The following is a 17631-nucleotide window of genomic DNA, read 5'->3' as shown; positions in this document are numbered from 1 at the left end:
GCTCAGTTTTAAATACATGTTGAGTTTGAAATGTATTAAACATCCAAGTGGATATTTTGACAAGGCAATTGGATACATGAATATGGGGTTTAAGGAAGGGATTTTGACTGAAGTTAAAAATTTAGAAGTTTTCAGCATATGTTTTATTTAAAACCATGAGACTGGAATAAATATAGATTTAAAAGGGATGGTTGACAATTCAGTAGGTAAATCCATCCCCTTAAGAGTAAACTACATCCCCATCCAGAGGCAAGAGGCCTTGCTCTAGAGCCCTCAAAACCCCTCAGAATAAACTAATCTAACTTCAGAATTTTTTCCGCAGTCCTGCAGTTCTGTAGGAATGGTGGGTTACCAACAGATTTGTCAGCATGAAGCTGCATCAAGCTGAGATCCATCCATTCTCAGACACTTCCAGCTCCTCCTCCAGTATAAGACCAGGAATATACCTGCATGTCCACATAGAGTCCCCAGTGTCTCTACTTACAGTTTTTGTAATGCTAACTGTTTCAATAAAAATATCTAAGCACAAGTACAAATCACTAAATTCATATGGAGAAAAAGAACATTTTTCCACCAAAGCATCAATATCTGTGGAGACATAATTTATATGACTATCCAGAATAGTTATTGTCTCTGACTGAAACAACTGCATTTAAGTTACACTGCGTTTAAGATATTTTTCAGGAAAAAGGTGTTGCAATTGATTTATTTGTGCAAAACAAAAAGGCCCATGGTGGTGGTTTTATAATATAATAAGACAGTTTTTCTCATGGATATATTTAAGATATTCTTAGAGGGCTGAAGTTTGTAAGTTGTCAAGACTAGACTGTTTCTACTTTTAAGAGTCCTAGTATATCAACTTATACATCTGTGAATAAGTACACATATACAAACACACACAAATATTTCTAAGAAGTAGATTGAGGTGCATCTTTAGAATTAAGAGTTTTTAAGCTGCACCTATGGCTAGTGATAAAGAAATAATATTTAGAATTTATATAATATATTCCTTCTTTTATACCATATCTATATTAAAACTTTCTCAGATAAAACTAGTAGGAAAGCCTTCAAATTTTTAAAAAATTGCATATTTATAAAATAATTTAATTTGAAAATAAAATGATTAGGACTGGATAATAGCTGCACAAACTTGATAAGTGGTAAAAATTCTCAGGATACTTATAAAGCAAATTATACAGACAGAGCATGTAGGAAATCTGAAATAAGAGCACCACAGAAAGAAGTCCATTGGTCACTTCAGAAAGCATATTAAATATGAGTCAGCTCAGCGATTCTGTTATTAAAGAAGTAATTATGGCATTGGCATGCTAAATGAGAATTCAGAGTGTGGGAAGTGCTTGGCAACTTTCCCATTAGGTACTCAAAACTGTCAAAACCTCTACATGCTCAATTCTGAATTTGTAATTTAATGAGGCAATGTACACAAGGAATATTCATAGGATGCCAATCTAAGACAATGTAGACAATGAAGAAGTTAACAAATTGATATTATTTATTTGAGGGAAACATGACATAAGACGTATGATATAGTCATCAATTTGCTGGAAAATAAAGTCACCTATTAAAGAGAAACTGTATTATAGTGGGAAGGAACAAGGGATTTAAAGCCAAACAAGCACAGGGTAAAATCCTTGCTCAACTAATAACTTGTCTGCGGGAAAGTAACTAAACATCATCTACTCTCCTCGTCTACAAATGAGGATAACCCTTCATGAGTTATAAGAATTCAGTTAAGTGAGATAATGTAAGTAAAACCCTAGAAAAACGTCTGGTAGAGAACAATAATAGAAATCACAATAACAAACGGATAAGGTTTGTTAGTGGTATTGACATTCATTCTGGCTGTACTGGATAGTGGTTGAGAACATGATTTCTGAAGCTATATTGCCTGGGTTCAAAATCTAGCTATATGACATCCTAGTTGTAGGACCATGGACTAGTTATTTAAATTACCTCACTTCTGTCATCTGTTAAACCAGGATTATCCTTATAAATATTGTGAGGATTACATAAGTTAATATGTAAAATGTTTAGAATAGTGCCAGGGACTATTCTTTTATTCTTCTTCCTTTTGTTCTTCCCTTCTGTTTCTGTCTCCTCTTTCTTCTTCTCATAATTTTTATGATTCAATGGCAATATTTTTTATATTTCTGATAGGCTGCAAATATAGGTATTGAATCACTGCAAAACATGCAACATAGCCGATCTCATTTGTCTGCCCAGTCCTGTTGTCTCTCCTTTCATTCAATGTGGTAATCCCAAGAGCACATCCTAAAAAATCTTCTGCATGCTAATTTCTATCTAGATTCTACTTTCTCAGGAACATAGCTCATGACAGTCACCACTACCCTCTTCCCACAAATAGTGACATCTTCATGACTATAATAAAAACTAAAACATGAATATTTATGATGTACTGTATGCTTTGCTAAATGTTTTATGTGTATTATCTAATATAACATTCAACTGAAAAGTACCATTATGATGTCCATTTTATATATGTGGCAATTGTGGCACAGAGAGGTTAAGGACTTTTCCTTGTTCACCCAGCTACAAAATGGTGGGGGTGGAATTTAAAACCATGTGGTTCAGCTTCAAAGACTGCACACTTTATCATAATATTCTACTGCCATTTAGTAAGTGTTCAATAAATATTTACAGAAGATTTTAAGGTGCTTTTGGTATTTTCATTTAATTGTTTTCAGAATCCTCTCATCCTGATAGAATTTTTTACTGTATGAGTCCATTGTTGTTGATAATATATATAAACAATCAAGTGAATAGGTACTAAAAATGAGGAAGACAAGCAGATCAAGACATTCCTCTGAGGGAAAAACTTTTGTTCAGAAAATAAATGTATTAAGGAATGTTGAATACATAATTTCATAAAAATGCATCCAATGTCATAAGCATTTGAGGAGATGTCATTAAAACGACACTAAGACACCATCATATTGACACAATTGCAAATGCCAATGTTAGCAAAACTGGGAAACTAAACACCGGTCATACACTGCTGATTAAAATTTTCATAAGTACTTTGGAAGAAATTAGATATTTTCAAGTAAATTTGAAAATGTACATATCTTATAACTTTGCAGTTGAACTAAAATACCTACAGAAATTCTTGTGTATGTGCATTAATAAGGAAATATATGGACACTCTAGCAACATTTTTTCTGAAGGTAAATGTTTTTGAAAAGTTCAAATATCTACCATTAATGGAATGGTTTGCTATATTGTGGTGCTGTATTTATATGATGGAATGTTCATACAGCACTTAAAATAATTTAATGTAGTATATTTTTCAACATGGATAGATGTTGAAAATGCAATGTTGAAAGAAAAAATGAAGTTTCAAAGTGTTAAATACAATATAATGCCATTTGCATAAGTTAAAAAATAATTAATATGTGCATATGGTTAATGGATACACGTGTGTGGTAGAAAATAAACATTTAAACTACAGAGAAAATCTATGATAGTGTTTTTTTTTAACTTAGTAATATTTTTCTTTTTCTTTTTTTTTTCTTTTTTTTTATTACTATACTTTTAAGTTTTAGGGTACATGTGCACATTGTGCAGGTTAGTTACATATGTATACATGTGCCATGCTGGTGCGCTGCACCCACTAACTCGTCATCTAGCATTAGGTATATCTCCCAATGCTATCCCTCCCCCCTCCCCCCACCCCACAACAGTCCCCAGAGTGTGATATTCCCCTTCCTGTGTACATGTGATCTCATTGTTCAATTCCCACCTGCGAGTGAGAATATGCGGTGTTTGGTTTTTTGTTCTTGTGATAGTTTACGGAGAATGATGATTTCCAATTTCATCCATGTCCCTACAAAGGACATGAACTCATAATTTTTTATGGCTGCATAGTATTCCATGGTGTATATGTGCCACATTTTCTTAATCCAGTCTATCATTGTTGGACATTTGGGTTGGTTCCAAGTCTTTGCTATTGTGAATAATGCCACAATAAACATACGTGTGCATGTGTCTTTGTAGCAGCATGATTTATAGTCCTTTGGGTATATACCCAGTAATGGGATGGCTGGGTCAAATGGTATTTCTAGTTCTAGATCCCTGAGGAATCGCCACACTGACTTCCACAATGGTTGAACTAGTTTACAGTCCCACCAACGGTGTAAAAGTGTTCCTATTGCTCCACATCTTCTCCAGCACCTGTTGTTTCCTGACTTTTTAATGATTGCCATTCTAACTGGTGTGAGATGGTATCTCATTGTGGTTTTGATTTGCATTTCTCTGATGGCCAGTGATGATGAGCATTTTTTCATGTGTTTTTTGGCTGCATAAATGTCTTCTTTTGAGAAGTGTCTGTTCATGTCCTTTGCCCACTTTTTGATGGGGTTGTTTGTTTTTTTTCTTGTAAATTTGTTTGAGTTCATTGTAGATTCTGGATATTAGCCCTTTGTCAGATGAGTAGGTTGTGAAAATTTTCTCCCATTTTGTAGGTTGCCTGTTCACTCTGATGGTAGTTTCTTTTGCTGTGCAGAAGCTCTTTAGTTTAATTAGATCCCATTTGTCAATTTTGTCTTTTGTTGCCATTGCTTTTGGTGTTTTGGACATGAAGTCCTTGCCCATGCCTATGTCCTGAATGGTAATGCCTAGGTTTTCTTCTAGGGTTTTTATGGTTTTAGGTCTAACATTTAAGTCTTTAATCCATCTTGAATTGATTTTTGTATAAGGTATAAGGAAGGGATCCAGTTTCAGCTTTCTCCATATGGCTAGCCAGTTTTCCCAGCACCATTTATTAAATAGGGACTCCTTTCCCCATTGCTTGTTTTTCTCAGGTTTGTGAAAGATCAGATAGTTGTAGATATGCGGTGTTACTTCTGAGGGCTGTGTTCTGTTCCATTGATCTATATCTCTGTTTTGGTACCAGTACCATGCTGTTTTGGTTACTGTAGCCTTGTAGTATAGTTTGAAGTCAGGTAGTGTGACGCCTCCAGCTTTGTTCTTTTGGCTTAGGATTGACTTGGCGATGCGGGCTCTTTTTTGGTTCCATATGAACTTTAAAGTAGTTTTTTCCAGTTCTGTGAAGAAAGGCATTGGTAGCTTGATGGGGATGGCATTGAATCTGTAAATTACTTTGGGCAGTATGGCCATTTTCACGATATTGATTCTTCCTACCCATGAGCATGGAATGTTCTTCCATTTGTTTGTATCCTCTTTTATTTCATTGAGCAGTGGTTTGTAGTTCTCCTTGAAGAGGTCCTTCACATCCCTTGTAAGTTGGATTTCTAAGTATTTTATTCTCTTTGAAGCAATTGTGAATGGGAGTTCACTCATGATTTGGCTCTCTGTTTGTCTATTGTTGGTGTATAAGAATGCTTGTGATTTTTGTACATTGATTTTGTATCCTGAGACTTTGCTGAAGTTGCTTATCAGCTTAAGGAGATTTTGGGCTGAGACAATGGGGTTTTCTAGATTTACAGTCATGTCATCTGCAAACAGGGACAATTTGACTTCCTCTTTTCCTAATTGAATACCCTTTATTTCCTTCTCCTGCCTAATTGCCCTGGCCAGAACTTCCAACACTATGTTGAATAGGAGTGGTGAGAAAGGGCATCCCTGTCTTGTGCCAGTTTTCAAAGGGAATGCTTCCAGTTTTTGCCCATTCAGTATGATATTGGCTGTGGGTTTGTCATACATAGCTCTTATTATTTTGAAATACGTCCCATCAATACCTAATTTATTGAGAGTTTTTAGCATGAATGATTGTTGAATTTTGTCAAAGGCCTTTTCTGCATCTATTGAGATAATCATGTGGTTTTTGTCTTTGGCTCTGTTTATATGCTGGATTACATTTATTGATTTGCGTATATTGAACCAGCCTTGCATCCCAGGGATGAGGCCCAGTTGATCATGGTGGATAAGCTTTTGGATGTGCTGCTGGATTCGTTTTGCCAGTATTTTATTGAGGATTTTTGCATCAATGTTCATCAAGGATATTGGTCTAAAATTCTCTTTTTTTGTTGTGTCTCTGCCTGGCTTTGGTATCAGAATGATGCTGGCCTCATAAAATGAGTTAGGGAGGAGTCCCTCTTTCTCTATTGATTGGAATAGTTTCCGAAGGAATGGTACCAGTTCCTCCTTGTACCTCTGGTAGAATTCGGCTGTGAATCCATCTGGTCCTGGACTCTTTTTGGTTGGTAAGCTATTGATTATTGCCACAATTTCAGCTCCTGTTATTGGTCTATTCAGAGATTCAACTTCTTCCTGGTTTAGTCTTGGGAAAGTGTATGTGTCGAGGAATTTATCCATTTCTTCTAGATTTTCTAGTTTATTTGCGTAGAGGTGTTTGTAGTATTCTCTGATGGTAGTTTGTATTTCTGTGGGATCGGTGGTGATATCCCCTTTATCATTTTTTATTGCATCTATTTGATTCTTCTCTCTTTTTGTCTTTATTAGTCTTGCTAGCGGTCTATCAATTTTGTTGATCCTTTCAAAAAACCAGCTCCTGGATTCATTAATTTTTTGAAGGGTTTTTTGTGTCTCTATTTCCTTCAGTTCTGCTCTGATTTTAGTTATTTCTTGCCTTCTGCTAGCTTTTGAATGTGTTTGCTCTTGCTTTTCTAGTTCTTTTAATTGTGATGTTAGGGTGTCAATTTTGGATCTTTCCTGCTTTCTCTTGTGGGCATTTAGTGCTATAAATTTCCCTCTACACACTGCTTTGAATGTGTCCCAGAGATTCTGGCATGTTGTGTCTTTGTTCTCGTTGGTTTCAAAGAACATCTTTATTTCTGCCTTCATTTTGTTATGTACCCAGTAGTCATTCAGGAGCAGGTTGTTCAGTTTCCAGGTAGTTGAGCGGTTTTGAGTGAGATTCTTAATCCTGAATTCTAGTTTGATTCCACTGTGGTCTGAGAGATAGTTTGTTATTATCTCTGTTCTTTTACATTTGCTGAGGAGAGCTTTACTTCCAAGTATGTGGTCAATTTTGGAATAGGTGTGGTGTGGTGCTGAAAAAAATGTATATTCTATTGATTTGGGGTGGAGAGTTCTGTAGATGTCTATTAGGTCCACTTGGTGCAGAGCTGAGTTCAATTCCTGGGTATCCTTGTTGACTTTCTGTCTCGTTGATCTGTCTAATGTTGACAGTGGGGTGTTAAAGTCTCCCATTATTAATGTGTGGGAGTCTAAGTCTCTTTGTAGGTCACTCAGGACTTGCTTTATGAATCTTGGTGCTCCTGTATTGGGTGCATATATATTTAGGATAGTTAGCTCTTTTTGTTGAATTGATCCCTTTACCATTATGTAATGGCCTTCCTTGTCTCTTTTGATCTTTGTTGGTTTAAAGTCTGTTTTATCCGAGACTAGGATTGCAACCCCTGCCTTTTTTTGTTTTCCATTTGCTTGGTAGATCTTCCTCCATCCTTTTATTTTGAGCCTATATGTGTCTCTGCACGTGAGATGGGTTTCCTGAATACAGCACACTGATGGGTCTTGACTCTTTATCCAATTTGTCAGTCTGTGTCTTTTAATTGGAGAATTTAGTCCATTTACATTTAAAGTTAATATTGCTATGTGTGAATTTGATCCTGTCATTATGATGTTAGCTGGTTATTTTGCTCGTTAGTTGATGCAGTTTCTTCCTAGTTTCGATGGTCTTTACATTTTGGCATGATTTTGCAGTGGCTGGTACCGGTTGTTCCTTTCCATATTTAGCGCTTCCTTCAGGAGCTCTTTTAGGGCAGGCTGGGTGGTGACAAAATCTGTCAGCATTTGCTTGTCTGTAAAGTATTTTATTTCTCCTTTGCTTATGAAGCTTAGTTTGGCTGGATATGAAATTCTGGGTTGAAAATTCTTTTCTTTAAGAATGTTGAATATTGGCCCCCACTCTCTTCTGGCTTGTAGGGTTTCTGCCAAGAGATCCGCTGTTAGTCTGATGGGCTTCCCTTTGAGGGTAACCCGACCTTTCTCTCTGGCTGCCCTTAACATTTTTTCCTTCATTTCAACTTTGGTGAATCTGACAATTATGTGTCTTGGAGTTGCTCTTCTCGAGGAGTATCTTTGTGGCATTCTCTGTATTTCCTGAATCTGAACGTTGGCCTGCCTTGCTAGATTGGGGAAGTTCTCCTGGATAATATACTGCAGCGTATTTTCCAACTTGGTTCCATTCTCCCCATCACTTTCAGGTACACCAATCAGACGTAGATTTGGTCTTTTCACATAGTCCCATATTTCTTGGAGGCTTTGCTCATTTCTTTTTATTCTTTTTTCTCTCAACTTCCCTTCTCGCTTCATTTCATTCATTTCATCTTCCATTGCTGATACCCTTTCTTCCATTTGATCGCATCGGCTCCTGAGGCTTCTGCTTTCTTCACGTAGTTCTCGAGCCTTGGTTTTCAGCTCCATCAGCTCCTTTAAGCACTTCTCTGTATTGGTTATTCTAGTTATACATTCTTCTAAATTTTTTTCAAAGTTTTCAACTTCTTTGCCTTTGGTTTGAATGTCCTCCCGTAGCTCAGAGTAATTTGATCGTCTGAAGCCTTCTTCTCTCAGCTCGTCAAAGTCATTCTCCATCCAGCTTTGTTCCGTTGCTGGTGAGGAACTGCGTTCCTTTGGAGGAGGAGAGGTGCTCTGCTTTTTAGAGTTTCCCGTTTTTCTGTTCTGTTTTTTCCCCATCTTTGTGGTTTTATCTACTTTTGGTCTTTGATGATGGTGATGTACAGATGGGTTTTTGGTGTGGATGTCCTTTCTGTTTGTTAGTTTTCCTTCTAACAGACAGGACCCTCAGCTGCAGGTCTGTTGGAATACCCTGCTGGTGTGAGGTGTCAGTGTGCCCCTGCTGGGGGTGCCTCCCAGTTAGGCTGCTCGGGGCTCAGGGGTCAGGGACCCATTTGAGGAGACAGTCTGCCCGTTCTCAGATCTCCAGCTGCTTGCTGGGAGAACCACTGCTCTCTTCAAAGCTGTCAGACAGGGACATTTAAGTCTGCAAAAGTTACTGCTGTCTTTTTGTTTGTCTGTGCCCTGCCCCCAGAGGTGGAGCCTATAGAGGCAGGCAGGCCTCCTTGAGCTGTGGTGGGCTCCACCCAGTTCTAGCTTCCCGGCTGCTTTGTTTACCTAATCAAGCCTGGGCAGTGGCGGGCGCTCCTCCCTGCCGCCTTGCAGTTTGATCTCAGACTGCTGTGCTAGCAATCAGCGAGACTCCGTGGGCGTAGGACCCTCCGAGCCAGGTGCAGAATATAATCTCGTGGTGCGCCGTTTTTTAAGCCCGTCGGAAAAGCGCAGTATTTGGGTGGGAGTGACCCGATTTTCCAGGTGCTGTCTGTCACCCCTTTCTTTGACTCAGAAAGGGAACTCCCTGACCCCTTGCGCTTCCCAAGTGAGGCAGTGCCTTGCCCTGCTTCGGCTCGCACACGGTGCGCGCACCCACTGACCTGCACCCACTGTCTGGCACTCCCTAGTGAGATGAACCCGGTACCTCAGATGAAAATGCAGAAATCACCCGTCTTCTGCGTCGCTCACGCTGGGAGCTGTAGACCAGAGCTGTTCCTATTCGGCCATCTTGGCTCCTCCGGATAGTGTTTATTGAACTGGAGAGAAGGAGAGATGGTAGGTAGAAGTGGTGAAAGAAATGGATGGGTTTAATTTTTACTCCAGTTTTATTTTCTAAAGCAAACTGACAATAACAAAAAAGACCTGATGCAAATATAAAAATAAGCCAGTATATTCTGTTTTGGGCCAGTAGATTTTTATCTTTGTACTTGGCTATATTTTATTTATGCCTTCCAAAATGCAGTACAATAACAGTAAAAGAGAGAACATGTGTGTAATTTCACAAACGAATTACTTTGTAAAGGGAAATCTTAATCTAAATGTAGCTATTTAAATAGACTCTAGATGTGTCGATTATTTCCAAATGGGCTTTACAGTTTGATTATATTTTACATGAAGAAATTAGGAAATTTTGTCTTTAAAGAAAAAGTTTTTGTTTTTGTTTTTTTAATTTTTTTCGTGGAGGGTGATTTAGGGGTGCCCTTTCCTGGTGCAAGGAAAATACAATCAACCAGTGGTTCCTAAACCTGGCTGATCTTCACTGTCACCTGGGGAGTCCTTTAATATGAAAAGTCTTAGCCACACCCCAGGTTTATGAATCATTCTCTAGGGATGGAGCCTGCAGATTTGCTCCCTTTATTTCTGTACTCTTTGATAGCTCCCAGGGGAATGTGATAATTCGCCCAGCTTGGAAACCTATCTCCAGATGTCTGCTCAAGTTCCTGTCCTAGCAATTATTGTTTTAGAGATTAATTCGTTCAGGATAGTGCTGAAGTCTAGTTCTTCCTCAGGCCAGGTCAGGAAGGGGGTGGTATAAAAAGTTTCCAGTTTGTAAAGTAGGCCTTTTAAAAAATCAGACTAGGCATATTCCTGCCTACCTTACAAGCCATCTGGGGCTTAAGATGACCCATGGTGTTTAAAAATTAGATATTTCCACATATAAAATCCTGAATGCTTTGCTCACCTTGTTGGCTGCCTAGTCATTTTTGTCCTTTCTTACTCTTCAAGAATGTTACAGACAGTTGAATATCTGTAAGAGCATTATGGTTTTGGCTGCCAGGAAAATAAACATTATTGCAGTTCTATTTGTGTGAAACTCCTTGTCAGTACAAAGGTAACTAGTAAGCACAGATCTTTGATTCTGATTAAAGATTTTGGCTCTTTGTACCTCATTTGCAGGTGAATATAACCTCCAGTACGACAAAATAAAAAAATGAAACAGTGGTTTGTGCCTCTGAGGCATTTTTTAATTTTTAAGGGAGACCTCACCTTCTGTGGGTTAGTAGAGGAGTTATGTGTCTTACAGGGTCTGAGACTATAAATATTCGGGTCATAAAGGGAGTGCCTCCTGACAGAGGCTTCTCATCTGTATCTGATAGGATTTTTCTGAGGGTTGGAAGAAAGAAAGACGACAGATGAGGAAATGTCAGGGAAGAAGTTTCCTGTGGAAGCATTTTGTATTTACTAATTTTTAAAGACTGTGTCCTAGGAAGTAGACTAAACATATATTTGTAAATAATTTTTCAACATGAAAAAATAGAAGTAGCAGGTTGCTATTGGTCAGGAGATCGAGACCATCCTGGCTAACACGGTGAAACCCCGTCTCTACTAAAAATACATTTAAAAAATTAGCTGGGCGCGGTGGCGGGCGCCTGTAGTCCCAGCTACTGGGGAGGCTGAGGCAGGAGAATGGCGTGAACCCGGGAGGCGGAGCTTGCAGTGAGCCGAGATCGTGCCACTGCACTCCAGTCTGGGCAACAGAGCGAGACTCCGTCTCAAAAAAAAAAAAAAAAAGAGTGATTATCTTGACATTTTCCTTTAGTTGTTTCCTCCAATCTGAACACAGAGTTTCACAGAGTTTCTTTATGTTTGCTTTGACCTTGTGCCTTTAGCCCATGTGGACCCCATACCCTCTACTTTGTCAACATCCAATACAAGGGGACTCTAGGAGCCCAGGTGATGCTCATAATCAAAGTTTTGGACCCTGTTCCTTCATCTCATTCTTTTCTTTTATTTTGAGACGGTGTCTTGCTCTGTCGTCACCAGGCTACAGTGCAGTGGTGCGATCTCGGCTTACTGCAAACTCCGCCTCCCGGGTTCAAGACAGTCTCCTGCCTCAGCTTCCCGAGTAGCTGGGACTACAGGTGGGTGCCACTACGCCCAGCTAATTTCTATGTTTTCAGTAGAGACGGGGTTTCACCATGTTGGCCAGGATGGTCTCGATCTCTTGACCTTGTGATCTGCCTTCCTTGGCCTCCCAAAGTGCTGGGATTACAGGCATAAGCCACCATGCCCGACCCTTCATCTCATTCTTGTCCCCTGTCCTGCTTCATTTGTATTCACTCAGCTCTTGACCTCTGGCTTTCCTGCCTAACACTTGCCTCTGAGATCGAATTCTACTTCAACTTTTCCAACTTGACCCTCAAATCTGCTGTTAGCCTCGATTTTGCCCCTTCGTCCTATGTGTTCTATTTCTGACTCCCACATACCAGCCTAGCATTGTCCACCTGTGCTCTTTTGACTGACCCAACAAAGGAGGAAGACACTGCTCCTTCTCAAGTGATAAGGGCCAATGCTCTCTTGCCCAATTTTGGTATGAAGATCTAAGTAGGAGTTTTCATCAGTCCTCCACTCATATCTGAGTCTGTCTGGCTCATCTTCATTTGTAATTACTCATCACATGTGTGCTGGGCCTTACATATACTCTTATGTTCTTCAAACATTTGGGGAAGGCCTCATTTGGAATTGCCTTCTGAACACTTCTTATACAATAAGAACTCAATTGTTGTTTGTTGAATGAGCCAATTTCAGATATACACAAAACATCATTCTTGTTGCTTCATAAGAATATTCCTTGTTAGATTAAAAAAATTTCTCAACTTTATCACCTACCTTATTCATAACATGTGTCACCAGATGACTACGGAACTTTTAAAAAACTAAATCCATTCATCCCTTACCCCAAGACTGAAGATTTACCACCATCGGAGACATAAATGCATGTGCCAAAGACTGGAAAAAATTTTCCCGTTCATGTGTTTGATGCCACTTTAAAATATCAGCACCAATATTTTATAGCTACCCTTATACACTGAACTGCCTAGAAATAGTCATCTTGACATATCTAGTCAAATGGGACTATAGCACCATTTGATTTTACTTTATGGAAGTTATCTAAACCAGAAGACAATTTATCCCCAAAGAAATATCTAATTCTTATAAAACTATAATAAGTAACATATCCAGTGAAAAAAAATGTGGAAAATATTTTATTTTACTTGTCATTTCCTCCTGTTTGGGTTTTAGTTGGTTTCTCAAATACTTTATTCACTATTCCACAAACATTGCCTGAGCACTTTCTCTATTCTGTCATTGTTCTTGGAACTGGTCATGTAGCAACAAATAAAATAAAATAGTCCTGATCTACAGGAAATGAAAAGTTGCTTTGGGATGGATAGGCTCATAAACAAATTTTCTTTTTTTTTTTCTAATTATTACTTTAGACTCAGAGGGTATCTGTGCAGGCTTATTACATCAGTAAATTGTGTGTTGCTGGAGTTCAGTGTACAAATGATTTTGTCACCCAGGTAATGAACATAGTACCCAATAGGTAGTTTTTTGGTCTTTATTCTCCTCCCACCCTCCACTCTCAGGTAAGTTCTCATATCTATTGTTCCCTTCTTTGTTTCCCTGGGTACTCAATGCTTAGCACCCATTTAAAAGTAAGAACGTGCAGCATTTGGTTTTCTGTTCCAGTGTTAATTTACTTGGGATAATGGCCTCCGGCTGCATTTGTGTTGCTGCAAAGGACATGATTTCATTCTTTTTTATCACTGTGTAGTGTTCCACAGTATGTATGTATCACATTTTCTTTACCTTGTCTACCACTGATGAGCAGGTAGGTTGATTCCATGTCTTTGGTATTGTGAAAAGTGCTATAATGAACGTACATGTGCATGTGTCTTCATGGTATAATTATTTATATTCTTTTGGGTATATACCAAGTATTGGGATTCCTGGGTTGAATGGTAGTTCTGTTTTAAGATCTGTGAGAAATCTCCAATCTGCTTTTCACAGTAGCTGAATTAATTTGCATTCCGACCAACAGTGTATTAGCATTCCTTTTTCTCTGCAGCCTTGCCAATATATGTTGTTATTTTACTGTTGATATCTCATTGTGGTTTTCATTTACATTTCTCTGATGATTAGTGATGATGAACATTTTTTCATATATTTGTTGGCTACTTGTATGTCTTCTTTTTAGAAGTGTCTGTTCATGTCTTTTGCCCATTTTTAATGGGGTTATTTGTTTTTCACTTGTTCAATTATTTAAGTTCCTTATAGATGCTGGATATTGGGCCTTTTTCAGATGCATAGTTTGTGAAAATTTTCTTGCATTTTGTAGGCTGTCTCTTTACTCTGTTGATGGTTTATTTTGCTGTGCAGAGGCTCTTTGGTTTAATCAGGTCGGTCCCATTTATCAATTTTTGTTTTGTTGCAATCGCTTTGGTAATCCTCATCATAACATCTTTGCCAAAGCCTATGTGCTGAATAATATTTCCTAGATTTTCTTCTAGGGTTTTTATAGTTTTAGATTTTATGTTTAAGTCATTAATCAATCTTGAGTTAATTTTTGCATATTGTGAAAGGTAGTGGTCTAGTTTCATTCTTTTGCATCTGGCTAGCCAGTTATCCCAGCACCATTTATTGAATAGGGAGTTCTTTCCTCATTGCTTGTTATTGTTGACATTATCAAAGATCAGATGGTCGTAGGTGTGTAGCTTTATTTCTGGATTCTCTAACCTATTCCATTGATCTATGTGTCTGTTTTTGTACCAGTACCATGCTGTTTTGGTTACTATTGCCTTATAGTATAGAATAAACACATTTTCTAACAATGCTAGTTACTCTTTAGTGGCTTGTGAAGAATGCTCTAGGATTATAGAAATGATAAGTTGACTAGGAGACTTGGATGGAGTGACTACTTCACCAGAAAAATAATGTTGATATAGACCAGATATCAGCAAACTTTTTTTGTGAAGTGTCAGATAGGAAATATTTTAGGCTCTGTGGCTAGTCTCTGCTGTACGTATTCAACTCTGCAGTCATAGTGCAAAAGCTGTAATAGACAATATAGGAATAAATGAGCATGGCTGTGTTCTAATAAATCTTTATTTGCAAAAAGAGGTAGAGTGGCAGGTCAGATGTGATCCATGGTCACAGTTTGCTGACCCCTAATCTTGATCAGGAAGGATGAGTAAGATCAATGTATTTCAGGCACAAGGGACAGTATGATAAAAGTTCACTAGCAAGAGAGTGTCTGTATCCCTGGATAATAGCAACTGAATATAGCCAGAATAAGGAATGCTGCAAATGAGCTGCACATAAATGATTAAGGCTACATTTGGTAAAGTCTCATATGCCAAAGTAAGAAGTAGGTTTTTACCCTGCAGGGAGTTACAAAATGAGCTTCTGTCCTCTAAAATCTGTATAAATCAACGTGTTCATCTTCCAAAGTCAGTGGTAGAAGAAAGTCTGTTAGAAGAAAAAAACACAAAGTGAATAAAGATTCTTATTTCAGCGTTTTTAATGGCTAGCAGTGGCTACATTTTCTTTTCTTTTTTCCTTTCTTTTTTTTTTTTTTTTTTTTTTTTTTTTTTTTTTTTTTTAAGACAGAGTCTTGCCCTGTCTCCCAGGCTGGAGTGCGGTGGCGTGATCTCGGCTCACTGCAACCTCCGCCTCCTGGGTTCAAGGGATTCTCCTGCCTCAGCCTCCCGACTAGCTGGGATTACAGGCACGCACCACCAATCCCAGTTAATTTTTGTATTTTTAGTAGAGACAGGGTTTTGCTATGTTGGCCAGGCTGGTCTCGAACTCCTGACCTTAAGTGATCCTCCTGCCTTGGCCTCCAAAAGTGCTGGGATTACAGGTGTGAGCCACCAGGCTGTGGCTACATTGTTAAAAACACATTATAACTTTTTTTGTGTACTCTTTTTTCCACACAGCAAGTACCAAGAACCTGACAAAGGCAGCATGCACATGTATCAGTGATATATCCTCTCAGCCTACTTTGTCTTCAGCAGACAATTTACTTTTGTTGCTCACCTAGAAATAATAGGGCATTTGGGAAAATTACTCCTTCTAATGACATTTCTATAGAAATTGGGGAAAAAAGCTGCTGGAAAAAGCAGCACTTAGGTGAAATGCTAAAATAAGTCAAGTACAAAAATGAAAAATCACCCTGTAGCTCAGTATATTTTATAATTTGATATTTCATCACTAAGACAGTTTAAAAAATAATCCTCCAAGACAAAGAATGTTTCAACATCAACTATTAAGCATGTGATACTAAGAGAATAGAAGCTTCTTCTGCTCAGAAATTGTCTGAACCTACCACCAACTGTTTGTAAAGAGGTTTTAAAGCTACCGAATAGCATAGATGTATTATTATAACGAGCTGATTAGATATTTTAATAATCTCTTTTTCAGTATTTTCTAACATAAGAGTAATGTCATTTAGACATCAGTGAGAGAAAAGATCACAATTGTGGAGAAACAAAGTCATCTATGAGAAAAGCCATGGCCTGAGTCAGAAGACTTCCAGTTCTCCTGGCAAGTCTGGCTTTCTCTTTCTCTCTCTCTCTCTCTCTCAGGCCAGAAGATATTCTTTTATTACAATGAACTAGCAATCATGCAATATCAAGAAACAGCCATGAAGGCACCTGCAGTAGGGATTACTGCAGGCCTGTAAATAAGAAGTTTCTTGAGGGGTACAACTGGGTAATTGCTGGGAAGGCAGAAAAATGTGGGGAAGAAATGTTCTGACCTCCTTTATAATTTTCATACAGGTGACAAATTAAGAGGCCAAGGTGACATTTTATAACAACTTTTTTTTTCATTGATTTGGGGCACTGATCAAAACTTCTGCCTCATATATATATATACTGTAAAATAACTGAAAAAAAAAGCAGTCATAAGTCCTCGAAGAAAGGGACATATTTTGGCAAAGAATATTTAAACACATTGTAATTTCTAAAGCAAAATTTGAAAGAGTAAGGAATCTTCAGACACGATATGGGTCTTTTTCATCACAAGCAAGCTCTTTCTTAGCAAGGACACAAAGACAGCACACTGCACAAAAGCAACAGTGACAGCATTAATGATGACTTAATCTCCTTGCAGAAGAGAAAAATCATTTCACCAAGGTGTCCAGAAGGTTTCAGGTCCTTTTTAGGTAGTTTCCCATTGAAATACCTGAATATGCAGCATAAAAACAAAACACAAATATCTTCGGGCCAGAAATGGACCTAAGATACAGTGAAAGCAGATACTGTGTGAGCTTCTGGGAAGCTTATAATATAGTGGCAGGTGACCTCAGTGACTCTGAGATTAAACTTTGATCAGGAGCCCATAGTGGCAGAATGTCCATGGACCAGAAGATCTCAGGCAGCTCAGGATGCTCTGCATCATTCAGTAAGCAGACACTGGGAGTTAGGACATGTATGTGTGCCATACGTTTGGTGCCTAGTGATATCTAGGGATAAACTAGTCCCTGAAATGACACAAAGCACACTTGTCATATGCTGGCTTTTGCCTACCTCCTTGCTATTCTAAGCCTACTTTTGATTTTGTGAACTACCCTTCATTGCATGTAGTCTTGGCCAGACTGTAAGTCAGGGCCCCTGGACAAAGGTTGGTCAGAAGATCAAGAAAAGCTAATCACGCACTCTCTTCCAGAATTTTAACCTAAAGCAGAGTGTTACAAGGACACAACATGATTGAACTCATTATTCGAATTGATGAATGAGATCACCTTTTTTCTATCTGCTCACAAACAGCAACCTCACAACCAAACAAATAATCTAGAAATCCACTAATACCAGCTGATCTCTATGAGGAATTTGCAAAAAAATGTGAGTATTCATGAAGCAGAGCATATACTTTTCTGTTCCTGTGTGCTAGTGTTAGCTCGGTTCTGTTTTTTTAAATAAGGCAATTAAACAAAATAACTTCACTTTAAAAATGACACCAGTGATAACCTTACACAGTTTTAAATGTGAGAGTCATTGTCATACCTTC

The 17631-nt window shown here is 38.3% G+C and overlaps 1 long non-coding RNA gene across 1 annotated transcript in view; it reads left to right on the top strand.

Moving 5' to 3' along the window:
• The first annotated feature begins 9139 nt into the window (after nt 1–9139).
• LOC124904280 (uncharacterized) overlaps nt 9140–17631 on the top strand; it is a 62122-nt gene continuing 53630 nt past the window's right edge. The window contains exon 1 of the long non-coding RNA XR_007066331.1: nt 9140–9609. This is a non-coding gene — a long non-coding RNA (uncharacterized LOC124904280). The remainder of the gene's footprint in view (nt 9610–17631) is intronic.

This window comes from Homo sapiens, chromosome 18 (assembly GCF_000001405.40).
Source record: "Homo sapiens chromosome 18, GRCh38.p14 Primary Assembly".
Lineage (NCBI taxonomy): Eukaryota > Metazoa > Chordata > Mammalia > Primates > Hominidae > Homo > Homo sapiens.
The sequence above is the reverse complement of the archived record's forward strand: the minus strand, read 5'-3'. Positions and strand labels throughout refer to the sequence as shown.